Here is a 27,579-nt window from a genome sequence, read left to right as displayed (position 1 = left end):
TCTGGTGCAAATTCTGTTTAAATGACAAAAAGAGCCAGGTAGTTTGGAAACCGTACCTTGCATTGTAGCTGAAAAAGGTATGCACAGAAAAATATGTAATAATATAAGGGGCTATCAAAAAAATAATGAAGGAAACGTATAAATTCTACTCAGTTGGAGTCTCAGAGATTTCATGTTCCCTTTGTTTTGTGTATCCTATTTAAATACTCCTAGGTACCTTTTCTAACCAGAAATTAAGGTACTATAGAAAAAAATATTTCTTGACCATTTTAAAAGGCTAAATTTTATACTTTATATTTTTCATGTTATAAATTTTTAATCTTTTTTCAACAAGATTAATGCAATTTTTGATACTATTGTGGTATGTTCAATAACTAAGAAAAATGTTGAAATATTCCAGTAAAATTGAATTTTTCTTTTCTGTAAGTTTTGCTTTATGTATTTCTTATAATAGTTTTGAGATCTAATTCACGTTCCATACATTTCATCCATTTAAAGTGTATACATACATGGTTTTTAGTGTATTCAAAGAATTGTGCAACTGTTACACAATTTTAGAACATGTCATTACCCCTCTCCCAAAAAACTCATTAACAGTCACTCGCCCCAAGCTCTGGGCAACCACTATGACTTTGTCTCTATAGATTTGCGTATTCTGGGCATTTGATGTAAATGTAATCATCTTATATGTGGTCCTTCGTGACTGGCTTCTTTCACTTGTCATAGGTTTTCAAGGTTCATCTGTGTGGTAGTGTGTATTGGTACTTTATTTCTTTTAATGCCAAATAATATTTCATTGTATAGTTAAATCACATTTTATCCATTCATCAGTTGTTGGTCATTTGGGTTATTTTTACTTTTTGGCTATTATGAATAATGCTGTTAGGAACTTTTGTGTACAAGTTTTTGTGTGAATATGTTTTCATTTCCTAGGAGTGGAATATGGTCATTCTGTGTTTAATCATTTGAGGGACTGTCAAACTGTTTTTAAAGCAGCTGCACCATTTTCCATTCCTACAGCAATGATAGAGGGTTCCAATTTCTTTGTGTTTTTGCCAGCACTTATTTCATTTGTGAAGTAGTGTCTCATTGTGGTTTTTATTTGCATTTTTATGATGGCTAATGATCTTGAGCATGTTTCATGTACTGATTAGCCTTTTGTATATCTTTTTTTGGAGAAATGTCTAATCGGATCATTTGCTCATTTGTAATTATTTGTCTATTTATTGAGTTGTTGGAGTTCATTATATATTCTACATTGAAGCCTGTTATCGGGTATCATTTGCAAAATTTTCTCCCAATTTGTCTTGATGGTGTCCTTTAAAGCACAAATGTTTTTAATTTTGATGATGTCCATTAATTTTTTTTTATGATTATTGCTTGTGGTTGGTGTCTTTTTTTTTTTTTTTTTTTTTTGGAGACGGTCTCATTCTATCACCTGGGCTGGAGTGCAGTGGCACAATCTTGGCTCACTGCAGCCTTGACCTCCAAATCCTCCCACCTCAGCCTCCTGAGTAGCTGGGACTGCAGGCACGTGCTACTACACCTGGCTAATTTTTGTAGAAAAGTCCTGGGACTACAGGTATGAGCCACTGTACCCAGCCGTTGTCATATTTAAGAAACATTGCTAGCTCCAGTGTCATGAAGATTTATCCTCTTTTGTTCTAAGAGTTTTATAGTTTTTTTCTTATATTTAGGTCTTGATCTATTTTGAGTTAATTTTTGTACATAATGTGAGGAGGGGGTCTGCATTTTAATTCTTTTGCATGTAGTTATGAAGTTGTTTGAGCACCATTTGTGGAAAAGACTATTTTTTCCCCATTGAATTGTCTTGGCATTCTTGTCAAATCAGTTGACTGTAATGTGAGGGTTTTTTCTGGACTCAGTCTATTTGATTTATGTACTTATCTGTTCTTATTCCAGTACTGCATTGTCTTTATTACTTTAGCTTTGTAGTAAGTTTTGAGGTCAGGAGGTTTGAGTCCTGTAACTGCATTCTTTTGTGAGATTGTTTTGGCTAGACAGGGTCCGTTAAATTTTCATACGAGTTTTAGGATCCGTTTGTCAATTTCAGTAAATTAGCCAGCTGGGATTGTGACAGGCATTGTGCTGAATCTGTAGATTAGTTTGAGAAGTATTTCTGTTTTAAAAATAGTCTTTCAATCCCTGAACGTGGGGTGACTTTCTTTTATTTAGGTTTTCTTTAATTTCTTTCAACAATGTTTGGTTGTTATCAGAGTATAAGTTTTTCAATTCTATTCCTAAAATATTTTTATATATTTTCTTTTTGACGCTATTGTAAATGGAGTTGTTTTATTTTCAGGTTTGTTGCCAGTGTATAGAAATATAATTGTTTTTGCATGTTTATCTTGTATCCTGCAACCTTGCTGAACTGATTTATTAGTTTTAATGGTGGTTTAGTGGATTTTTTAGAATTTTCTGTAAACAGGATCATATTATCTACAAATAAGAGTTTTACCTTTCCAGTTTGGGTGCCTCTTATTTTTCTTGACTAATTGCCCTGGCTAGAAGCTGGAGTGCAATGTTGAATAGCTATGATGAAAAGAGACATCTCATCTTGTTCCTGGTCTTAGGAGGGAACACATTCAGTCTTTCACCATTAAGTCTGATGTTACCTGTGGGCTTTTCATATATGCCCTTTTGTCAGGTTCAGTTCTTGACTGTTGCTAACTTGTTGCTTTTATCATGAAAGGGTGTTGAATTTTGCTGAATGCTTTTTTCTGCATCTATTGAGATGATCATGTAGTTTTTGTCCTTTTAGAATAGAGATGTATTACATTAATTGATTTTCAGATTTTAAATCAAACTTGCATTCCTGGTATAAATCACACTTATCAAATATGATCTCTGTATGTATTTCTAGATTAAATTTCCTGGTAGTTTTTAAAAAGTATTTTTGTGTCTATGTGCATAATATATATTGATCTCTAACTTTCTTTTCTTGTGATGTTTTTTGTCTGGCTTTGGTATCAGAGTATTGTTGGACTCATTGAATGAGTTGGGAAGCGTTCATCCTTTCTCTTTGTTCAAAGAGTTGTGAAGAATTGCTCTTCTTTTTTAAATGTTTGGTAGAATTTAGCAGTGAAACTATCTGGGCCTATTTTTGTCTGTGTTTTGTTTTGTTTTGTTTTCGGTGGGTAGTTTTAAATGGCCAATTCAGTCTCTTTATTTGTTATAGATTTATTCGTAGTTTACATTTCTTTTTAAATTCATTTCAGTAGTTTGCATCTTGGAATTTTTCAACGTAATTTATCTAATTCATTGCATGTGGTTCATAGTATTTCCTTATGTCTTTTTGTATCTGTAGGTTCCATAGTAATGACCCTGTTTTGTTCCTGGGTTTAGTAATTAGAGTCTTCTCTCTTTTTTTCTTAGTTGACTAAAAGTTTATCAATTTTGATTTTTTCAAAGAGCTAACTTTTGGTTTTGTTCTCTATTTTTGTTTTCCATTTCATTAGTTTCCACTCTAATCCTTATTTTTTCCCGTCTGCTTGCTTTTTGTTTAGTTGTTCTTTTTCCAATGTTTTAAAGTAACAGGTTAGATTATTGATTTGAGATGTTTGCTTACACTTCTTAAGTCCACAATTTATATTTGGTTCTCTCTCTGTCTCTTTTTTTTTTTTTTTGAGATGAAGTCTTGCTGTGTTACCCAGGCTGGAGTGCAGTGGCGCAATCTTGGCTTACTGCAACCTCCGCCTCCTGGGTTCAAGTGATTCTTGAGCTTCAACCTCCCAAGTAGCTGGTATTACAGGCGTGCGCCATCACACCCAGCTAATTTTTGTTTTTTTAGTAGAGATGGGGTTTCGCCATGTTGGCCAGGCTGATCTCGAACTCCTGACCTCAGGTGATCACCAGCCTCAGCCCCCCAAAGTGCTGGGATTACAGGCGTGAGCCACCGCACCTGGCCTGGTTCTCTTTTACAATGCCTGTATCTTTACTGTAATTTTATCTTTGAGATATTGTCTCATAGCTTTCTTTAACAGTAGTTTATTTTATTCTTTAAGCATTATGATGGCCGATTTGCCATTTTCAAAGTTCATCTTTGTGGCGGGGCGCAGTGGCTTACGCCTGTAATCCCAGCACTTTGGGAGGCTGAGGCGGGTGGATCACCTGAGGTTAGGAGTTTGAAACCAGCCTGGCCAACATGGTGAAACCCTGTCTCTACTAAAAATACAAAAATCACCTGGGCATGATGGCATGCGCCTGTAATCCCAGCTACTTGGGAGGCTGAGTCAGGAGAATCACTTGAACCCAGAGGCGGAGGTTGCAGTGAGCCAAGATTGCGCCATTGCACTCCAGCCTGGGTGATGAGCAAAATTCCTCTGTCTCCAAAAAAAAAAAAAAACAAAAAAAAAAAACACCAAAAAGCAAAGTACATCTTTGAGGTTTGTTTGGACCTGAGGGAGCTTGCTTTGCCTGTCTCCTTCCTTGGCCATCTCTGGTGAACTGCTGGCCCATCTTTTTGCTCTCAATGGAGCTTTACTTACCACCAAAATCTTCATTATTTTTGAGAATGACTTCTGCCTACCCCCAAGCTTTATTGGGGTATTAGTGACAAAAAAATTATGACCTTTCTAAAAAATCATAAAGTTTTACTGATATTTATTTAAAAACCTTTTTTTTTTTAATGGAGATTGGATCTCTCTTTTGCCTAGGCTGGAGTGCAATGGTGCAGTCGTATCTCATGGTAACCTCAAATTCCTGGGCCCAGGTGATCCTCCCATCTTACCTCCTGAGTAGCTGGGACTGACTACAGGCATATGCCACCATGCCCAGCTCATTTTCAAATTTTTTGTAAAGATGAGGTCTCACTATGTGGTTTTGGCCGCTCTCTAACTCCTGGCTTCAAGTGATCCTCCTGCCTCAGCTTCCCAAAGTTCTGGGATTACAGGTGTGAACTACCACCTGTCCCCAACAGGTATCTTTGAAGGCTCTTTTCTCCCTTTGTTATTATGTACTTTTTAGGTGACATAGTGGAGGTGAAAATAAATTATGATGTTAACAAAATAAGAAGGTAGTAAAGCACAAGACATGAGTGGGGCTAAAGAAGTATTTAGTTCTGTTGACTGGATTTTGGAGGGTTCTGAGCTGTAGGCTTTAATAATGGAAACATAGGTTGGGGAGAGGTTCAGAAGACTATAGAATAAATCCATGCCAAAGACTTTAGAATCCATTCTGTACGCCAGAAGCTGGCAAGCTATGGCCTGTGCTGTACCACAACGTGGTGGAAGGTCAAAGGGGAAGTGGATGTATGCGAAGGGGCAAAACCCAGGGGTGTCCTTGCTTTATAACAACCTACTCTCATGGGAACTAGTTCATTCCCACAAAAAGTAATTCAGTTGTGCCAGAATGATAGTGAGAAGTCGCTCATTACATCACAACAGGAGAATGGCCCCAAGGCATTCATAAGGGGTCGACCACTACCATGACTCAAACACTTCCCACTAGGCCCCACCTCCCAAAACCTGCCACACTGGGGATCAAATTTCAACATGAGTTTCAGGAGGACAAACCATATCGAGACCATAGTAGTATTCAAGAATTTGTGTATCAGAAAGTTAAGGACACAAGGTGATCTCTACTGTTAGTGAGGTTACCATTACAATGCACTCAAGTACAGCTGAAGGACTGTATTGATTGGCATTCCATTCCTCTAAATTTCCTGTAAATTAGTGATTACATTTAGTGTTGTCTTGGATTCAGGTTTGACTCACCAGGCTAGAGTGCAAATGGCATGATCTTGGCTCATGCACTTCATGGGTGATGGTGTGTAATTTTACTAGGAGGCACAGTATGTCTGGTGGTCTCTCATGATGTTAGTGTTGCTGATGGTGATCTTCTAATTCTGTCATTTCTTCTTTATTAGGTGAAATATTCCTGTAAAGAGAAATGTTTTCTCATAAATTATCAGGCTACTTTGAGAAACAGCTTGAGTATTTCCCTTTATTTACCATTATTCAAGATAAGTTTCTTACCTAGCATTCTCCAAAGATGATCAGCAAAATGTTTTATTATGTTGTTTGGTTTTAAAAATTTTTAGTATCCTTATGAATGTATAGATCCAAATTTACTCTATGTGTTTCAGTGTATTTTAAGTATACATAGTTTCATTTTTGTCCCATGGGAGCCTCTTGAATTTGTCTTATGAGCCCTTTTAACCTGATTCTAATAGTCTTTGGTAGTTTCCTTGCTGTCTTGGTACGACTAGATATTCCAGGCTTATCTTATAGATGTCTCGTCCTAGCCTGGGAAATGGTATTCAAGACTACAAGCTGGGCACAGGGGATATTCATTGCTATACATATATATCTAAAACATATATATGTATAGTATATATGTGTGTATATATATAATATGTACTATTTATATATCGTATTAATAAATTGATAATTAGCTACATATATACTAATGCATATTAATGTATATAACTAATATGTCGCTATATATATATATTCATTGATATTGGATTGGTCATTGTTTCTACAAAATAGAGCCAAGAAATATGTTGTTTGGCTTTTTTTAGTCAATAAAACATTAATGTACACAGATAATTCTTTTTTTAATTTTAGATTTGGGGGATACATGTGCAGGTTTGTTACATGGATATATTGTGTGATGCTGAGGTTTGGGTTTCTATTGAACCTGTTGTCCAGATAGTGAACACGGTACCCAACAGATCATTTTTCAACCCTTGCCCCATTCTCTCCTTTACCTCTTTTGGAGTCCCCGTACCTATTATTTCCATCTTTATGTCTCTAATACTCTAATATGCACAGATTTTTTTTTCTGTTTTTTTGAGATGAAGTCTCGCTCTTGTACCCCAGGCTGGAGTGGAGTGCAAATGGCTTGATCTCGGCTCACTGCAACCTCCATCTCCTGGGTTCAAGTGATTCTCCTGCCTCAGCCTCCCGAGTAGCTGGGATTACAGGCAACTGCCACCACGCCCGGCTAATTTTTGTATTTTTAGTAGAGATGGGGGTTTCACCATGTTGGCCAGGCAGGTCTCAAACTCCTGACCTTGGGTGATCCTCCTGTCTCAGCCTCCCAAAGTACTGGGATTACAGGCGTGAACCACTGTGCCTGGCCACACACAGGTATTTCTAATTCAGATTCATGACTACATTCTTTATCCTTAACCTACTCGATTCTGTTCTATATCTCCCACACCAAAAATTCTGGTTCTCATCTTAATTACTTGCTTGCTTTATCCCATTAATGGATACATTTAGTCTCAGACTAATTATACCAACATTATTACCAAGAAATGGTTACTACTGTTTGTTTTTTTTAGTAGCTCTTTTTATCTCTAAGATATGTTCATCCACTAGCAATATACAGTGAAAATACAGTCAAATAATTAAATTTTAAAGTTATTAAAATAATCCTCATTTGGTTGATTCACTTACTTCAATTTATCTTAATTTTTAGAAATAGCTTAATTTGCACTCTAGCCTGGGTGACAGAGCAAGACTCTGTCTCCAAAAAAGAAAAAAAAAAAAAAAAAAGAAATAGCTTAATTTTTTGGTAACGGATATGGGAACCATAGACACAGTTCTAAGGTCTAATTTATAAGACAAGGTATATTCAGAGAAGTCCAGCTTCCACCCTATCCCTCTACCCTTCTTCTTCTTCTCCATTTCTTCCCCTAGTTTTAGTTCATCCTTTCATTAAAAAACAAAACAAAAACAAAAAATAGATATTCTCTCCTTGCCTTCTTAGGTAAACGGTAGCATACTATACATTTTCTCTGTTGCCTTCTACGCTAAGTAACATATCCTGCAGATCACCTGATAGTAGCATGTGGAGATATTCTGCATTCCTTCTGCAGCTGCACAGTGCTCTAATTGTGCATTTACGTAGTAGTCCAACCAGCTTCCATAATCGATTTTGTTTTAATATAATGGAATTCTTTTAGTTTTACTAGTTCTAAAACTTCACAATTCCTTTATGTTCTTATGGCTTTGTGTGTAATAGTAAATACTTGTTAAAATGAAACTTTATTTTCTATTTATTTAAGCTGACATAATTGTATGTTTATAGAATACATAGTGATGTTTTGATACAATGTGTAGTGATCTGATCAGGGTAATTAGCATATCCATTGTCTCAAACATTTATGGCTTCTTTGTGTTGAGAACATTCAATGTCCTCCTCCTAGCTATTTGAAACTATGTATTACTGTTAACTATAGTCATCCCATAGTGCTATAGAACACCAGAACTTATTTCTCCCATCTAGCTGTAATTTTGAAACTTTAGTTTTAAAACATCTCAAAAAGAGCTTTTCAAACTTAATTTATATTTTCTTGTGGCTGCGTTTATCCACAACTAATTATTTGACCATGGTAATAATTTTTAACATAGCTTATATGTGTTATCTCAAATTAGAACACAGAATATGTTGTATCAGCATAAGTAGACGTAGAGTTAAACTAGTTATCTCATCTTTGTAGAGAGCTTTATGGTCTTAAAAGTATGTGTAGTCATGTATTTTGATTTAATATGTTATCCTAAACCAGACTAATAGTCTGCTGACCCAAATATATATCCAATTTGGCCTACTAAAAAGAAAATAATAAATATAACTCAACTTTCTACACAAAACCTTGATTTTTTTAAAAGTTTAATTTAAAAAGGGGCTTATAGTAAGACCTCAGATTTTATTTTATAGAAATCATTTCAGCTCATCCCCTTTAACTGAAAATAACTATTGGGAAATAGTTCTAGTAAAATTAGTTCATCAATATTGCACCTTAGAATTGGAGTCAGATTTTATTTTAATGTTCAGGCTCCACCATTTTTTCTTTAGCCTTTTTCATCTTATATTAACAGGAATTTTCTTTCTCAAAAACAATCTGATTACATCATAATTATTTTCAGTCCCATTTATTTATTTCCAATTTAATTTGTCAAAGAAAATGACATGCAGTGATTTCACCTTAGATGTGCAAGTGGCTGTGTCCACATAGGGATTATTGACACTGTTTGAGCGTGGACTCTTACAGGACAATCTTCAGCTGACTTTAATTTACTTAAGAAGGAAGGAGATTTTCTGGCACTGCTATAGGACTTGTTTTTGTCTATTTAGTCTCTCTAGGTTGTTATAATAATATAAATCTTTTAAATACCTCTAAAATGATTTAGTCAAAAGTCTCATTGCCATTAAGACTGTCTTATTTATTGAGAATGCTCTGCCAATATTCAGCTTCTATAAAAGTTACTTGGGCTGTCTGTGTGGTTGACTTTCTTTTGCTTGTCTTCTAGTGCATTCCACTCTTCGTTCAACTTGTTTTGGAGAGATTAACTCGAGGGGTCAAAACTAGTGAGCTTCGTACTATGTGTCTTCAGGTTGCAATTGCTGCCTTGTACTACAACCCTGATTTGCTGCTACATACTTTAGAACGAATTCAGTTGCCTCACAACCCTGGACCTATCACTGTACAGTTTATAAATCAATGGATGAATGATACAGATTGTTTTCTTGGGTATGTGTCTTTTGGATTTTACACTGCTTTTCTGTTTCTGGAAAGTTTGCTTTTTAATATTTGTGTATAATAGCATGTACAAAGATAATTTTCATGTCTTAGGAATTATTTTTAGTGTATTGTTAATATTTAATTTTTAGAGGATTAAGAATGCATTTCAGCAGGGTAATCTAGTGGAAAGAATGCAGCCTCTGAAAATTTGATGTAGCCCTTTCCCGCTTTTATTTTTTTTATTTATTTTTTTTAAACACAAGTGTATCATTGTATCTCTAGGCAACAAGAATTAGTTGTCTGTCTGGGTTCCATGATTAAGTGTCAGTGGGTAAAAACATTCTAAATGGAGTTGGATTTCTAAGGATGGTACCCCTCTGGCAAAGATAAAATGTAATGTCACAGAATGTTTAACTCTTTGCAGATCTCAGGGATGCCTGTTCTCAAAAGTGGAGTCAGAAGGCTTGTTATTTGTAGCCCAGGTGCTGCCCCAGTAGGAGAATTTGGTTTTATGTGAAGCACTCTTCCTAGTTTTCAAAAATAGGAAGAGTGAGGCCGGGCGCGGTGGCTCCCATCTGTAATCCCAGCACTTTGGGAGGCCGAGGCGGGTGGATCACGAGGTCAGGAGATCGAGACCATTCTGGCTAACACGGTGAAACCCCATCTCTACTAAAAAAGCACACAAAAAAGCTAGCAGGGCGTGGTGGTGGGCACCTGTAGTCCCAGCTACTCGGGAGGCTGAGGCAGGAGAATGGCATGAACCTGGGAGGCGGAGCTTGCAGTGAGCTGAGATCGTGCCACTGCACTCCAGCCTGGGCGACAGAGTGAGACTCCATCTCAAAAAAATAGGAAGAGTGAGATTCCAACTAGTGTTATGTGCCCACCTCAGGTCACCCAACACAGATTAGTGATTGTGTTATGCTAGAAATTGAGCTAGCTGTCTAATTTGTTTTAAAACACTATCTAATATCTAACTGGAAATTAATAGTATTCTTCTTAAGTTTTGTGAGAGATCATTTAGAAAAATTTCCTGAGAGGAACAGACTCCCCACAGTGGTTAAGACACTGCTGCCACAGGCAGGAGAAGATGGAGGCCTGGATTAGGGTGGGGCGTTAGGAATGGGGGAACATATTTACAAGCTGCTATGCGTGTTCTAATTTTTCTACTTGCAGGACACTGGAATTAATCCCTGATTGAGATTTGTTATTAAAACCTTGAAGGGAAGAACATACTATCAAAGAAATTGTTGTTAAAGTTATCTCTGAGAAAGATTTAGGGAGTAGAGATTTGGTAATTTAAAGTTAAGCGGTTGGTTCTCTTATGTGTTTATTAGCACTGGAAGCAGTCTCCCTGCTATTGTGTAGACTGGGAGTCCTTGGGTTGTGCTTCCTTGGATTCTTTCGAGCTCTGCTTGATAATCCTCTTTTCTGCTGTGATCCGTGTGGCATGTATTTAGGGGTTGCATGGATGAGAAGGTCCTCAGGTCAAGTACAGTTCTGTTATAGCGTACTAGTTGGGCATTAGTGACTTGAATCAATCAAGGAATGCAAATAATGAAGAATAACAGAAGCCTGTAGAATATTCATTATTGGATTTGTTATATTATTCGCACTTTAAACACATTGAATCGCTGCAAGTGAATTTTTTATTCACACAATTTTAAGAATGTTTTGCCAATGTAATCTTTTAGTTCTTAATTTTTTAGTTTTAAGCAACTTAGAGGAAGCATTTAGTAGAAAAATGTCTAATGTTTACTGGTCAAACTTTTTTTCTTTCTGAATAAAATTTTCCTTGTCCTTATATTTTTCTTATGCTATTTTATAGCACAGGAGTTTAGTAGACTGCTTAAATTAAGTTCAGCTTACTATCTTACTAGATGCTGAGTTTTTGAAACATCTTTCACCTCTTAGGGTTTGGGTAGATTATGTGTGCTGAGAAACCTTGTAGATCAATCTAATGTTGGAAGAGTCTAAGAAACTCTTCATTCCCCCCAACCATTGTATAGGACTTTTATGCTGTCAAATATAGGTATTTCTGCTTTATTAAAACTCCTTATGCCGAGGCCCATATATAACATTTATATTAATCATAAATTGATATTACAGCAAGATTCACCATGTTAATTGCAGACTCCCAATAGGTCTTTGAAAATAATTGGTTTACAAAATTTGATTTACATAGCATTTCATACAGTACAAAACAGGGAATGTCTCTGTATGATACCAACAGATGAACCTTAGAGTATGCCTTGGACATTTCTTTTTGTAGTTTCTCCAGAATTTGTTCTTTATTCCACTTCTCATGTCTACATTTTTTTTTTCTTCAAAATTTGCAGGCATCATGACCGGAAGATGTGTATAATAGGACTGAGTATCCTTTTGGAATTGCAAAATCGACCTCCTGCAGTAGATGCTGTGGTGGGACAGATTGTTCCCTCAATTCTTTTCCTTTTCCTTGGCCTAAAGCAGGTCTGTGCTACTAGACAACTGGTAAACCGGGAAGATCGTTCAAAAGCAGAGAAAGCTGATATGGAAGAAAATGGTAAAGTCTTCTAATTGAAATTAATGTTACAATTGATTTTGATTTGTGTATGCATTTTATATGAATACTAGTCTATATGGAGACATTAAACAGATTTACATTCTTCGGCCTGCTACACATATAACAAATATTTTGGGCTTGGTTGACTTGCTATTAATTGTATCATGCTATATAAATTTAGATTTATGCACCTTCTGACACCTAATATACTCAGCGGTTTTTTTTATGGAGCCTAATAGATGCTGTTACACATTAGGAAACACATTTATAACAATCAAATGGTCTTGACTGTAAGTTAGCAATCTAGTATCTAACTTTCTTGTTTGTGCTAACAGCCTCATCAAGGCAGTAGCCATGAGTTAAATGAATCATTACATTAAGAGCTGAAGTGTTAGTACCACAGATTAGTAGAGAGTGTCTTTTTTTTCTTTTTCTGGAATGGTTCTTAGGTGACTCATTAGCAAAAATTACATTTGAGAGACGTCCATATTTGTGATTTAAATATAAATTAAGGTAAAGTACATAAATGAAGTGGATATACTTGAGAATCAGAATAAGATTGTTAGAGTTGAATATTAGACCTTTGTTTTGTTTAATGATGAGATTGCGGAGCTACTTGCTAGAGACTAGGAAGTAGCATTCTCCTATTCCAGGTGGATTTTTTCCTCTCCTGGTTAAAAACAGATACTTTGTTAGCTGAGAAAAATCAGAACTCTTCCTGGTAAACATACAGCTCTATTTTTGATGCTAAATTCTGTGATTTTAGCATGGATAGATTTAAAACACTTTTAACTGGCATCATCCCAGTTTGTTCATATACCAGAGATTATAAACTACCCTTTTTCTCCCCTCCACAGCACAAAATACAGCTTCTAATTTGTTTTTCTGAAATCTGTGTAGGTCTTTTGAAGAAATGCTTCTTTATTAGAAGTGTTGCATGTGTGATTTTTGTTTTGTTTTGTTTTGTTTTTAGCTAACTGTGTGTCAACAGTTGTAGAATTCTTTTATTTTTTCCAGTATGTTATGATCTCTAATTTCTTGTTTTGGCAACTCTTTATTGGCTTATACTGTATGGCTTGAGGGAAAATTTTCTGGTAATATCCCACACTTTCTTGTACTTCCTACTAAAGTATGGAATGATTAACTAGTGGAGGTATTTCTCAGTCTTTTTGTATTAATAGTTATAATTTGCCATGCATTTTTTCGTGTATTTGGTCCAAACTCTGGTTAAGTGCCTTATTCCTAAAACTACCTAGTTCAATCTACCTGCTTCAATATGGTGTGTCTAATAGAACTAGTTTTAGGTTAATATTACCTGGTTTGGGTTTACTCCAGGATTTCTCTCTTATCTTGATTTTTGTTCTGCATTTACTGCCTTCCTGTTCCAGTATTTCAGTTACAATCTAACTGCTAGGAACAGATTGACACTGAAAATAGATACAGAATCCATGGTGATACATAATGTAGTTCAAGTTTTTAACTTTTCAAGCGACATGTAGCTATTTTTCTTTACATTTTTGCTATTTCTTTTTATTATAAATTAGCAAATTATATATTTATGGAGTACAAAGTGATGTTATGATTTGTGAATATAATGCGGAATGATTAAATCAAACTAATATATCCATCACCTTAAATACCCTTTTTAATGGTGGGAACATTTGAAATTTACAATCTTGCCAATTTTGAAATGTACATATACTATTAACTGTATTCACCATGCTGTACAATAGATACCAAAACAAAACAAAACAAAACAAAAACCTAATTCTTCCTGAGACTTTGTACCCTTTTACCAACATTCCCATATTCCCACCACCTCTAGCCTCTGGTAACCACCATTCTATTCTCTACTTCTATGAGTTTGATTGTTTTAGATTCTATGTATAAGTGAGAACAGGCAGTATGTGTCTTTCTGTGCCTGGCTTATTTCACTTATCATAATGTCCAAGTTCATCAGTGTTGTTGGAATTGACAGAATTACCTTTTTAAAAGCTGAATAGTGTTTCATTTTAAAGAATCCACATTTTCTTTATTCATCCGTTGTTGATGGACACTTAGGTTGATTCTGTAACTTGGCTATTGTGAATAATGCTGCGATGAACACAGGGCTGCTGACATCTGTTCTACGTATTGATTTAAAATATTTTAGATATATATCCTGAAGTGGGATGGCTGGATCTGTATTTTTACTGTTTCTACTAGCAGAAATGATCTCATTTGGGCATTTCTAAGCACTTTATAATCAACTCAGTTAATTAAGAGGACTGAATTCTCAATAGGAAGTCATTGTTTAAAACACATGCACTGACCGTACAGTCACTTTTTTTTTAAACAAAGGTAATTTTGAAATCTGCAATTGAATAATATTCTTGTATTAATGAACTTGCATAGCCTAACAGTAGTAATGTTCATCTGGATAACAGGTTTAGGGAACTTGTTTTCAGTGAGGAGGATAAGGACATTCTCAACTTAGCAAACTCTACAGTAAAGATAAGGTTTATTTATTTTATTTTTTATTTTTATTTTTTGACTCTCCTCTTTAGACCAGGGATAAGATTTATTTTTATTAAAATTTTGTGGAAGATTTTTTCCTTTCCAGAGTGTAGTTTTATAGTCTTTGGTTTTTGTCGTGAAGTTTTATATTTTGTCCTTATGTGTTTTGATTCCTTTTAAATAATTAATGGGTTCACAGAGGAGATTTCAAGTGATGAAGAGGAGACAAATGTAACTGCTCAAGCAATGCAGTCAAATAATGGAAGAGGTGAAGATGAGGAGGAGGAAGATGATGACTGGGATGAAGAAGTATTGGAAGAAACCGCGCTTGAGGGGTTCAGTACTCCACTTGACCTTGACAATAGTGTGGATGAATATCAGTTTTTTACACAAGCTCTGATAAGTATGTCTTTACTTCCCCACATCTTCTGATATTTTTTTTTCTAAACTCTTTCTTCATTTCTTCCTGTTTTGATATTTGCCCAAGATTGGTCTAGGTTCTTTTAAAAATTTTTTTGTTTATTCCTTATGATAGAAATCCCCAAACATACATACATGAAATGATAGAAATTAAAATAATGAAACACCTATCACCCAATCCTAGCAGCTTTCATCATTGAGAAGTAGCAGGGTGAGCCTGTATGTTATCCTTGCAAAAGTAATATGTGGAGTATCTGTGTATATTGTTCATCCTTTAGGCATAAATGGGCAAGCATTTTTATAGCAAAGAATGAAGTGTTTCAGGCATACATTGCTTAAAAATTGTGGCTAACAACCTACTAGTTATTCACAATCCCTAGAATGAAATTGCTGCCGTAAGAGGGTGACTTTTTACTTTGTAAGTAATTTGCCAATTTTATACAACAAAGAACAGTATAATTACAGTTACAGGACTCATAAATGATTCGGGGGGAGAAAATATTTGCCACATATGCATAATAGGCATAATGTACACAGTGTACAGAGGCCATCCTCAGATACATAAGACCAGTAACCTAGTAGAAAATGGAAATGGAAAATTTACAGAATAAAAACAAGCCAATGAGGATATTTAGAAAATTATTAATCAAATAAATTATTTTAAATCTCATTAATATAGATTATTTGTTTTATGGTTAGATAGTATTTCCATAGTTACATTGTAATTTAGTTCCACTGTGGGACATTTAAGATTGTTTCCAATGTTTTTACCATTATGAGGGTTATTAAAATGAACATCCTTACATGTAAATGTTTTTACTAATAAGGCAATATTAGCTTAATATATTGGCATTTTTTAGTGTTGCTACAAATAACATTAATGAAGAAAAAACTACCTAGATGTTCTTATTGAAATTCAGAGGAATTGGAGGCAGAGAACACAGGAAACTATATTCCAAAGCATGGGAAACGTAACAGCATAAACGTGGAGATGGAAATATGGAGGATGTGGCCTAGTGTAGTTCCAGACATGGGTGTGTCATAATCACCAAGGAGGCTTTTAGGTCTTGAGTAGGATCTCAGGAGATGTATTTTTAAAGATGCTTCTCAAGTGACAAGCAACTTTAAACCAGCATGTAGGGGCCACTGCTTAAAGACTGTGAAGGAACGCAGTTGGGCTGGGCTATAGTGGCCTTGAATTCTGGACTGAGGTGGTCCATCCCATTGCCCATTGGAATAGCGTTGAAAGTTGTGTTCTGAGGCGGTGACCTTTTAGATGTGGTAATTCACTTCAGGGGAGTTACCCGGTGATGGATGATGTGCAGAAAAAACTGGAAAGGACTAGATGTGGGAGCCAAGTGTTAGAGGTTCACTTTATTAATTTAGATGTATAGAGACCTGGAATGGGGAGGGTGACATTTGATGGAAAGCAGCATACAGATGAAAGACATTAAGAAAGAAGCAGAGCTTTGGGTGTGGAGAGGGCATGCTCAGGGATGTTAAGGATGCACAGTAGTGGACTGGGAGACTAATAGAACTGGTGAGATAAATGGAGAGATAGAAGGTTTGGGAGGAAATTGTTAAATTTGGTTTTAGTTGTGTTGAGTTTGAGATGAGCTATTCAAATGGAACAGTCCAGGAGGCTTAGGGGAAGGTTTTTCCTAGAGGTACAGATTTGAATCCTTGGGGTGGTAGCAATACTAAAGCTGCAGGTAGTATGAAAATTCCAGAGGAAAATGGTAACAAGTGAGTACTGGTGTTCTGGATTTTAGAGAACATCCATAGAAGACAGCAAAGGAGACAGAGAACTAGGCAGACTAGAGATTTGCAATGTCCTAACCTTCCTTTGATTTCCCACATAGCTGGGTACTAAGTGGGTACTCAGAAATAATCCTTTGTTGGCGTAAGTTTCATTACCTTGTGTGTGTTGTAGTACTGTACTCTTTGTCTCTTACTGTCTGGGATAATTTCTTTGTAATTTGATCATGTTACTACTTGTTCTGTAAATTAATAGTCGCTGTACCCTCCTGTCTTTTCCTCCCAAAATGCAACAGCTGTGCAGAGTCGAGATGCAGCCTGGTACCAGCTGCTGATGGCACCACTCAGCGAGGATCAGAGGACAGCACTGCAGGAGGTGTACACACTGGCAGAGCACCGACGGACGGTGGCAGGTCAGCCAGAGTAACCTCCAGAGTGGAGTGCATGTGTCAGAGTGCCAACAGACAGCCTTATTTGATGAGCCAGGTGGCACCTAAACACTGTTTTTGAAATTGTTAGAGACTTACCCTTTAAGATAATAAGGAATTGTCATTATTGTATGATTGTTTTAATCACTCATGATGTCTTAGCTTTGCAAAAACCTGCACATTAATATGTATTTCCTAGTGGTGTTCTCATTCACATTCTTATCCTATGTTGGAGGCAAAGGTACAAAGTAAGGGTTGGGATAAGTCTTGCCGAGGGAGACTTAATCAGTTGGATCACTCCCCTAAACATTTCAACCGTGGGCCAAAGGGACTTGACGAATTCTTGCAAGGAGCTTGTATTCCTGGAAATGGAATGCTCTCTATTTCTCATTGTTGGGCTTTATTTGACATTGTTTCTTGTTGTTGATTTTCAGTTTTTAAGCTGGAGGAATTACTCTGTGTTGATTATTGTAGTTACTTGTAGATTGTCATTGGAAAAGATTTTGTAGTTACAAAAAAATTTTAGTAGGAAACATGGCAAACTAGACATCTAGAGTTTAGAATGCTGGCTCTTCTGCATGGACTTAGATTTTCAGTTCTGTGCAGATTCTCAGTCAGCCTTCCTGATATGAGAAGTCTGGGCCCCCTTTCAGCAGTAGAGACAGTGAAGTAGAATCCACCTCTGAGACGTGTTTTCTTTTCACTCGTTTTTTGCAGATTTTCCGATGGTAGTGAACATACCACCTTATTGACATAGGTCTGTTATTCTTAGTTATTCTTTGGCAGGATAACTAATACTACCAGTCACATTCTTTCACAGTTCTAAGCATATAAAGAATCTGGCTCCTTTGAGTCATCTCCAACTTTGTCACCTTAAGCATTCTTTTTTTTTCTTCTCCCCTTTTCTTTTGAAAAATGCTAGAGGCAAAGAAGAAGATTGAACAACAGGGAGGCTTCACCTTTGAAAACAAAGGAGTCCTCTCCGCATTTAATTTTGGGACTGTGCCCAGCAACAACTGAAGGAAAGAACATCAGCTGACCAAATGTCATCGCTGCATTTTATTTCACAAGAGGAGTGTGAGGGTCAAGGGGATGAAATGAGGGGCTGCTTTTAGGGCCCTCCTGCTGTGCCAGTTACCATCTGGCATTAGGCAGCACTTTTATCTACTCTTTCCCCTTTGACCTTTGTCACCCTGAAATATATATTTTAAACAGCTACTGTAAGTATGAAATGAAAGAAAAACAATCATTGGACGGAAAAGGACAACCCATATGTTCCAAAGGCTGAATGCCCAAGGTTGTTTTAGAGGATTGGATAGACTTGCACGTCTCAGGTTTTTGCCATGCAGAATCAATGGATTTATGCGGATAACAGTGCCTTCTGTTGTACATGAATTATCAGAAAAAAATTTTTGGAGTGCATTGCAATTTTTTTTAAAGCATAAAACATATTTCTAGATACAACATAAACCTTGGTTATATGTCAACTATTCTGCATTTTACTCTGTGAATTTATTGTTAGGCAGTTACTGCAAGTCACTCTGGTTTCAAAATCTTCACGGCTCCCTCTGCTCACCCTGCTGCTGGGGGGCTTTTTTCAGGGGTTGTATTATAAAATATGCACTGGCTGTGGTTTTTCATAAGATGTTTTGTGGCTTTTTAAAGAAGTGTCTTACTCCCTCTTCTCTCATTTTTTTCTGCCTTGAAAAGGGGTGGTATTTCTTTTGGGGTCAACAAATACACATATCAGTTTCACTCCTAACCTTGTAAGTTCAGGACTCATTTTCTTGGCAGCAAGTGGCAGGGGCTCTTTAGTCACTGGAGTTAACAGTAAGTCTGAGTATATTCTGAATAATGTAATTATGCAATTAATTGATAATCATACCTAAAGCACATTGAACTTCTAAGAGACAGGTGCTACGTAAGCACACTGTCTTTCTGGATGGGGACTTGTATTTTAAATAACTTATCATTCCAGCTATGTTGGACTAGGGTCCAAAGCATTTTATAATATTTTTTTTTAATCTAGGAAAAAGACCCAAACAAATCTAACTTCTTGCTTTCTCACCTATTTGAATTTTCTCCTACCTAATTTGTTTGTGTCTTTATTATAGCTCAGTTTGACTTCTCAAACTTTTCAAGGGTTGGGGCAGCTGCACTTTTAGGTTGCCTATAGGAAATATTGCATATGGAGATTACAGTGTTTTTCTGACCTAGTTCAAGACCAGAACATGGGTCATAGGGTTTTTATTCAGCAAAATGAAAACGTATCTTCAGAACTTAACATATTACTGGATGTGATACAGATTTTGCTTTCTGTGGAATTGAAAATTCACAAAAATTCACAGCTTAAATTTCCCATCAGTGACTGGAGGAATTTTTTTCAGGTGCTTCCTATATTACCATCCCTCATGCATATTAACTCTTTAGAATTTTAGGTTAAGTGATGTCTATAGAAGTAGCCTGGAAAACCATGAGTTTTGGAGTTCAGTGACCCCCTGCTTTCCTCTGCTCCTCCCTTCCCAAGGCATTGAAGCTGAATGTGCCAACTGGCAGTTAGAAGCGAAAGATGGCATTGGGAGAAATTTTAGAGAGCTTTCAAACTCTTTATTCTCATGTTCCACATGGTCTAATTTTAACATAAATAATATGCCTTCACACTGGATTGTAAAAGGCATGTGATTTTTGAGATTTTATTTTGTGATGTATTGTCTTCTGCAGTATTAAAGGGAAAGAGATATTAATGTGCATTACCCTATCTTGTTTTTGAAGCCAGGGTAGTTGTATGATTTTGTTACCAGCAGTGCTAACCTGAATGTGACCTGGTTACCTTGGAAATGCAGGAACTTATATGAATGTACTATAAAATAAAATGCGGACTGATTCCCAGGATTCTGAACTTTTGTGTGTGAAATGTTTTCTGAAATGTGGAGGTGCTTTAAGCAGTTGATAATAACCCATCAGTATGTTTTCCTGACACCTGGTGACCTGAAGCAAGGTGGACTGTAGGTCTGGGAGGGTGACCAGGGCTTATCAGGAACAGCTAATACATGGGGAGAAGTAGGAAGTGAAAGCCCATCTCATGAACCAGGAGGTCCGCACAGAAGAGTGTTGGAGCTCTGGAAAGGCACAGGGCGTTCAACCACAGCAGGACCTCGAAGGAAAGGAAGATGTCACTAAAATGGTGCAATTTTCTGATGGGTCTACTATCAAATTATTACTGGTCAAAACTGGACTGGTAATACGGTAATGGATATGTTCTTAGAAATGCTTCATGGGCATTTTGTTATTGTGTGAGCATCCTAGAGTCTGCTTACACAAACCTAGATGGTGTAGCTTACTACGCACCTAGGCTACGTGGGATAGCCTATTGCTCCTTGACTACAAACCTGTACAGCATGTTACTGTACTATACTGAATACTATAGGCAATTGTAACACAATGGTAAGTAATTATGTATCTAAACACAAAAGGTACACTAGAAATGTGGTATAAAAGTTAAAAATGCATGAATGGAGCTTGCAGGACTGAAAGCTGCTTTGAGCGAGTGAGTGGTGAGTGAACATGAATGTTTAGGACATTGCTGCAGCTGCACACGACTGTAGACTTTATAAAACTGTATACTTAGGCTACACTAAATTTATAAAACAATTTTCTTCAATAATCTTAGCTTACTGTAACTTGTGAACTTTTAACTTTTTAGCTCTTTTGTAATAACACTTAGCTTAAATCACATTGTACAGCTGTACAAAAACATTTTCCTTTTAAATATCTTTATTCTATAAGCTTTTTTCTATTTTTAAAATTTGTTTACTTTTTAAACTTTATTAGCGACTAAGACACACATTAGCATAGGCCTACATAGAGTCAGGATCACCAATATCCCTGTCTTCCACCTCCACATCTTGTCCCCCTGGAAGGTCTTAAGGGGCAGTAACATGTATGGAGCTGTCATCTCCTATGTAGCAATGCCTCTTTCTGGAACACCTACTGAAGGACCTACCTGAGGCTGTTTCACAGTTAACTTTTTTAATAAGTAGGAGTATGCACTAAAATAACAAGTATAGTAAGTACTAGGTGATAGGAATTCTCCAGCTCCATTCTCTTATGTGCATACTGTCATTTATGTAGTCCATTATTGACTGAAAGGTCATGGGGCACATACTTGTACTTGCATGATGGTAAGACCCATTACATTGTTAATCAGTGAAGATTCCTAAGAAAACAGTTATTTATTTTTTTTATTATACTTTAAGTTTTAGGGTACATGTGCACATTGTGCAGGTTAGTTACATATGTATACATGTGCCATGCTGGTGCGCTGCACTCACTAACTCGTCATCTAGCATTAGGTATATCTCCCAATGCTATCCCTCCCCCCTCCCCCCACCCCACCACAGTCCAGAGTGTGATATTCCCCTTCCTGTGTCCATGTGATCTCATTGTTCAATTCCCAGCTATGAGTGAGAATATGCGGTGTTTGGTTTTTTGTTCTTGCGATAGGAAAACAGTTATTTTAAATTGTCATTAAGTAATATAATGAATTATAGTACAGTTTTCTGTTTAGCAAGGGAGACTGAATAATCCAGGCATAAAAGGGAAACTTGGCCATGTATTAGGACCATGTGCGTGCAAGTGTGTGTATGCATGAATGTTTCGTGCATTAAAAATTATTCCAGATGAGCCTTAAATAGCAGTCTTTTCTGTTCCACCTTACTCTCTCCGTTGAGACTGCTGTACAAATGCTGCCTGGGTGGATTGGGAAATTTCTAGGCAGTCTGCTAGCAAGAAAGGCTGCAAAATCAATAAATAAAGAGATGGCTTATACTCTGTAGATAGACTATGTTTGAGGAAGAAGCACAAAGGGCAACTATGGCTGTCTCACTTTGTTGCCCAGGCTGGAATGCAATGGTGCGATCACAATTCACTGCAGCTTGATTTCATGGGGTCAAGTGAGTGATTCTACATTAGCTTCCTGAGTAGCTGGGAGTACAGGCAAGCACCACCATGCTTGGCTATTTTTTAAATTTTTTGTAGAGACAGGGACTCAATATGTTGCCCAGGCTTGTCTCGAACTCCTGGCCTTGAACTATCTTTCCACCCTGGCCTCACAAAGAGCTGGAATTGGAAGTGTGAGGCCACCTGGCCACCCTAAGTAATTTGGCCCTTCCTCAGCTATCTCACTGTGTGCAACTTCTTGGAAAGTACGCTCCAGTTGCCTTTTTTCACTGCCTCCAATTCAGTGGTTTCTTCTTCCAATTGGTCCCTGGGCTTTTCTTTGATTGAAAGTTTTAAATTACTGATTCAGTCTCCTTATTTGTTATTGATCTGTTCAGGCTTTCTATTTCTTCTTGATTCAATCTTGGTAGCTTGTATGTTTCTAGGAATTTACTCATTTCTTCTAGGTTGTCCAATGTGTTAACATGTAATTGTTCATATTAGTTCCTTTTAAAAATTTCTTTGGCATTGGTTATATCTCCTATTTCTGATTTTATCTTATTTTTTCCTAGTTTAGTTAAGGGTTTGTTGATTTTGATTATCTTTTTTAAAAAACTTTTCAGTTTGTCGATTTTTCTTTTGTTTTCTGGTCTTCATTTATTTCTGCTCTAGTCTTTATTATTTCCTTCTTTCTGCTAGTTTTGGGCTTATTTCTTTTTCTAGTTCCTTCAGGTATGATGTTAGGTTGTTTGAGATCTTTTTTAATGTAGACATTTATACACTTTTTTAATGTAGACATTTATACACTTCCATTTCAGCACTGCTTTTGCCGCCTCCCATAAGTTTTGGCATGTTATGTTTTTGTTTGTCTCACAATATCTTCTAATTTTTAAAATTTCTTCTTTGACCCAATGGTTGAATATATTGTTTAGTTTCCATGTATTTGTGAATTTTTCCAGTTTTCTTTTATTGATTTCTAGTTTCATTTCTTTGTAGTCAAAAAAGATAATTGAAATTATTTCAGTCTTCTTAAATTTGTCAGAACTTGTTTTGTGACCTTGCATGTAATCTATCTTGGAGAATCTTTCATGTGCAGTTGAGAGGAATTTTTATTCTGCTGCCGTTAGGTAGAAGGTTCCGTACATGTCTGTTAGCTCCATTTGGCCTATAGTGTTATTCAAAACCACTGTTTCTTTATTTCTCTAATGTCTGGATGAACTATTATTGAAAGTGGGGTATTGAAGTCTCCTAATACATTCTACTCCTATTTCTCCCTTCATATTTATCAATGTGTGCTTTATATATATAGGCGCTCTGATGTTGGGTGCATATATAATTGTTACGTCTTCCTGTTGAATTGACCCTTTTATCATTATGTAATGACCTTCTTTGTCTCTTGTGACAGTTTTTGACTTGAAGTCTTTTTGTCTAATATAAGAAAAGCTGCTTACGCTCTGTTTTGGTGACCATTTGCATGATATATCTTGTTTCATCCCTTCACTTTCAGCCTACGTGTGTCCTTAAAGCTAAAGTGAGTCTTTTGTAGACACCCTATAATTAGATCTTGCTTTTTAATCCATTCAGCTACTCTGTATCTTTGATTGGGGAATTTAATACATTTACATTTAAAGAAATTATTGATTGGTAAGAACTGACTACTGCCATTTTGTTCATTGGTTTCTGTTTTGTGGTTCTTTTGTTCCTCTCTTCCCCTCTTGCTGTCTTTGTGATTTGATAATTTTTTATGGTTATATACTCGGATTCTTTTCCCTTTCTTGTATCTGCTGAAGATTTTTTCTTTGTAGTTACTGTGAAGCTTGCATAACCCTCCTTAGAATTGTACCAGTCTATTTTGAGCTGATAACTTCAATCACATACAAAAACTACACTTTTACTCTCCCATTCCCCAGTTTGTTATTGATGTCAGAATTTGCTTTTTATGTTGTGTATCCATTAACCAATATTTTGTGGTTATATTCTTAATACTTTTGTCTTTTATGCTGGGGTTAAAAGTGATTTATGCACCACCATTACAATATTACATTATTCTGTATTTGTCTATGTATTTACCCTTAGCAGTGAGATTTATACTTTCATATGCTTTTGTGTTGCTATTTAGCAAGAAGCTGATTTTTTTATTAATACAAATTATGTACTTTTTTCAAAATAAAGAATTTGTTGTATGTATGTATTACACACAGATTTCCAAACCAGATAACCCAGTGTTGGCCAATCGCAGTAATCAAAACTACAAATTTAATTTCATAATTTTTAGCTCCTTGCAGCTGCTGCTGTCAGACAACCCTCAGCTGGGTGGTGTCAGGATTGGTAGCATTTTCAAATAAAACAAGAAATTTAACATCAATAGGTACCAGCAAGAAGTGTTTATTTCTTCATGAGGGTGTTGTGTACTTCGGGGGAATAAGACCAATTTTCATTTTGGTAGTTAAATGGGTTGCATTTGAAACCTTTGCTGTGAGGCACCATATTTCCAATGAGTGAAGTTTTAGACTCTTTACATTTGGTACCACAAGTACCATTAATGGGGTTGTGGCTGGGCAGTATAGTCAAGTGATTCTCTGAAGGCAGAAATAAATAAGCAGATCGTTTACTTTTTCAGTATAACTCCACTTGTTAGGCTTTTAGCCTCTTCTTTCAACATAGGTTTAATAAATAGGGAATAATCTTAACTAGCCACCACTGCCAGGTGGTGCTACTTCCCTTTCTGCTGTTTCATGATCCCACCACACTGTGTTAATCCTCACCAGTGGTTGTCCTGTGATTGGCTGCTGTATTATAGGCTGCGGTAAGCAGAATAGTGACTCCCGAACCACGACCCCCAAACACGCAAAGATGTCTACGTCCTAATCCTTGGAAACTGTAAAAATGTAACTTTACATGGCAAAGGGGAATTAAGATTCCAGATAGAATTCAGTTTGCTAATCAGCTGATCTTAAAACAGGGAGAGTATCCTGGGTTATCTACATGCACCCAATGTAATCATGGAGTTTCTTAAAAGTGGGAGAGGGAGGCAGAAGAGAAGGCTGGAGTGACAAGATTTGAGGACTGAGTCCATTATTGCTGATTTTGAAGACGGAGGAAGGGCACGGTGAGCCAACAAATGCAGGCAGCCTTTAGAAGCTGGAAAAGGCAAGGAAACAGTCTCCTAGAGTCTCCAGGATGAAATGTCGACCTACCAACACCTTCATTTTAGCCCAGTGAGACCCATCTAGGACTGCTGACCTCTAGAACTGTAAGACGATACATTTGTAGGTTGTAAGCCATTACGTTAGTGGTAATTTGTTACAGCAACAATAGAAAGTAAATATACAGACTGGTGGAGGACAGATGCAGGAGAATTCTCATCTTTGAAGACTGAAGTATTGATTAATATTTTGGGCTGGACATTTAAATTTCTAAATCAAGATTATGTTTTACAAATATTAAGTGATTTTGAGGCTTGTTTCCTAAGCATGATCAGAAAATCCTCAGGTCTGCTAGGGATTGTTATCTAAAAGCAGAGAAAAACTTTTTCCAGTGGATAAAATTTAAAGAGAGAATAGAAAACAAAAATAAATTTGCATTTTGATTACATCCCTTAGGCTGTGATTGTTTAATGTACTTCTTATAATAGTATCTAAACAAATGTAAAATATTATAAATGTAATATTTTCATTTATCAAATATCTCTTTAATCATTCAGCAAATATCCTGACAGTTTCTGAGCCTTGTTTGTAAGATTTCCTTTTAGTTCTGTGAGAACCTAGGATCCTTTCATTGAGTTCCTTTTCTACTTAAATTAGCTAGAGCTGGCTGCTGTTGCTTACAATGAACGTAGAACGCTAACTGAGGTAGGAGACACACTAGCACTTTGCATCTAGAGAGATGTGTGACTGCGGATAAATTATTCTTTGCTTGTGATATCCAGCCTCCCAGATGGCCCCCTGTGATTCTTGCTATCTCTTGACTAATTCCCTCACATTGTTCTATGGTTGGACTATGAGTTTAGAAGCATGCAGGAGAAGTTATGGGATGTCACTTCCAAGATTAGGTTATGAAAAACTGATTTCCTTCTTGGGTGCTTTATCTGATACTATTTGCTCTAATGTCATGGGTCATAAGCCATGTCATGAACAGCTTTGTGGAGAGGCCTACATCATTTGGAACTGAAGCCTCCTTCCAGTAGACATATGAGTCAACATGGAAGTAGATGCTTCAACCCTTGACAAGTCTTCATAAACTTAGCCCTGGCTTGACTACCACCTCATGAAGGCTCTGAGTCATAATTGCCCAACTAAGTCACTGCTGGATTCCTGACTCTCAGAAACTGTCAGATAATTATTGTTTTGAGCTGCTAAATTTGGGGACCATTTGTTATGCTAGTATGGATAACTAATACACGTTCATAAACCCACTTTGAGAGGAGATAAGGCAGGGTAAAGGATGGAGCATTTTTTTCTTTTTTATGTTTCTAAAGAGGAATTTTTTATGCACTGTGAAGCTTGAGAAAGCTGGTCAGATTATCTGTATCTATGTAAGGCTTAACTATGACTGCAGAAATTTGGGAATTAGCCCTTCTGACAATTTAAGAAAGGGATTTGAAATTAATTAGACACCTATTATTAAACAGGCATTTCATTATGTACTGTTTCAGTCACTTTTGCTGCATAACAAATCACCCCAAAATTTGCGGGCTTAAAAAAAAGTAATTTTCCCCCTTCCCTGTTCTGTGGATTGATCAGGTGTTTTTTTTTTTTTTTTTGGCATTGTCAGGGTTCACTCCCACAGCTGCATTTAGCTGCTTGATTGCCTGGGGCTGGGCTCATCTGAGTCAACTAGGCCCCTCTCTCCATGTAGTCATTCATCCTCAAGGAGAAAGACCAAAGTTTTTCACATGATGACGGCCACTTCACAAGACAGTGTAAATAGAAGCTGCCTGACTTGTTATGGTCTAGCCTTTGAAGTCACAGTATCATTTAGGTTGCATTCAATTTTTTTTTTTTTTTTTTGAGATAGGGTCTCTGTCACCTAGGCTGAAGTGCAGTGGCGTGATCACAGCTCACTGCAACCTCTGCCTCCCAGGCTCAAGTGATCCTCCTACCTCAGCCTCCCAAGTAGCTGGGACTACAGGCACATGGCACCATGCCAGGCTAACTTTTTGTGTTTTTTGTAAAGATGGGGTTTCACCATGTTGCCCAGGCTGGTCTTGAACTCCTGGGCTCAAGTGATCCACATGCCTTGGCCTCCCAAGTTGCTGCGATTACAAGCGTGAGCTACTGTGCCTGGCCTAGGCTAAATTCTATTATAATAAAACAAGTTCAGCTCAGATTAAAGGGGTAGAGAAGTAGATTCTACCTCTTGATGGGTGGGGTGGCAAAGTCACTTTGCAAAAGCAGGTGGACACAGGATATTGTAGTTCATTGGGAGCCATTATAGTAAAAATATACCACAATCTGCATTCTCTCCCAGTAATTCAAGTCCCTTCCCAAGACTCCCAAAGT

At 36.7% G+C, this 27,579-nt stretch overlaps 1 protein-coding gene across 4 annotated transcripts in view; it reads left to right on the top strand.

Moving 5' to 3' along the window:
- IPO8 (importin 8) overlaps positions 1–20,032 on the top strand; it is a 66,882-nt gene extending 46,850 nt beyond the window's left edge. For all 4 annotated transcript variants that reach the window (NM_006390.4, XM_017018691.3, XM_017018692.2 and 1 more), the window contains 5 exons: positions 9,285–9,505; positions 11,833–12,038; positions 14,734–14,937; positions 17,009–17,125; positions 18,063–20,032. In NM_006390.4, the coding sequence (NP_006381.2) occupies positions 9,285–9,505; positions 11,833–12,038; positions 14,734–14,937; positions 17,009–17,125; positions 18,063–18,160 (846 nt within the window). In that variant the 3' untranslated portion in view covers positions 18,161–20,032. The remainder of the gene's footprint in view (positions 1–9,284; positions 9,506–11,832; positions 12,039–14,733; positions 14,938–17,008; positions 17,126–18,062) is intronic.
- Positions 20,033–27,579: the final 7,547 nt, after the last annotated feature.

The sequence above is a fragment of the Homo sapiens genome, chromosome 12 (genome assembly GCF_000001405.40).
Source record: "Homo sapiens chromosome 12, GRCh38.p14 Primary Assembly".
NCBI classification, from domain to species: domain Eukaryota; kingdom Metazoa; phylum Chordata; class Mammalia; order Primates; family Hominidae; genus Homo; species Homo sapiens.
Note: the sequence above shows the minus strand (reverse complement) of the source record. Positions and strands in the feature narration are given on the sequence as shown.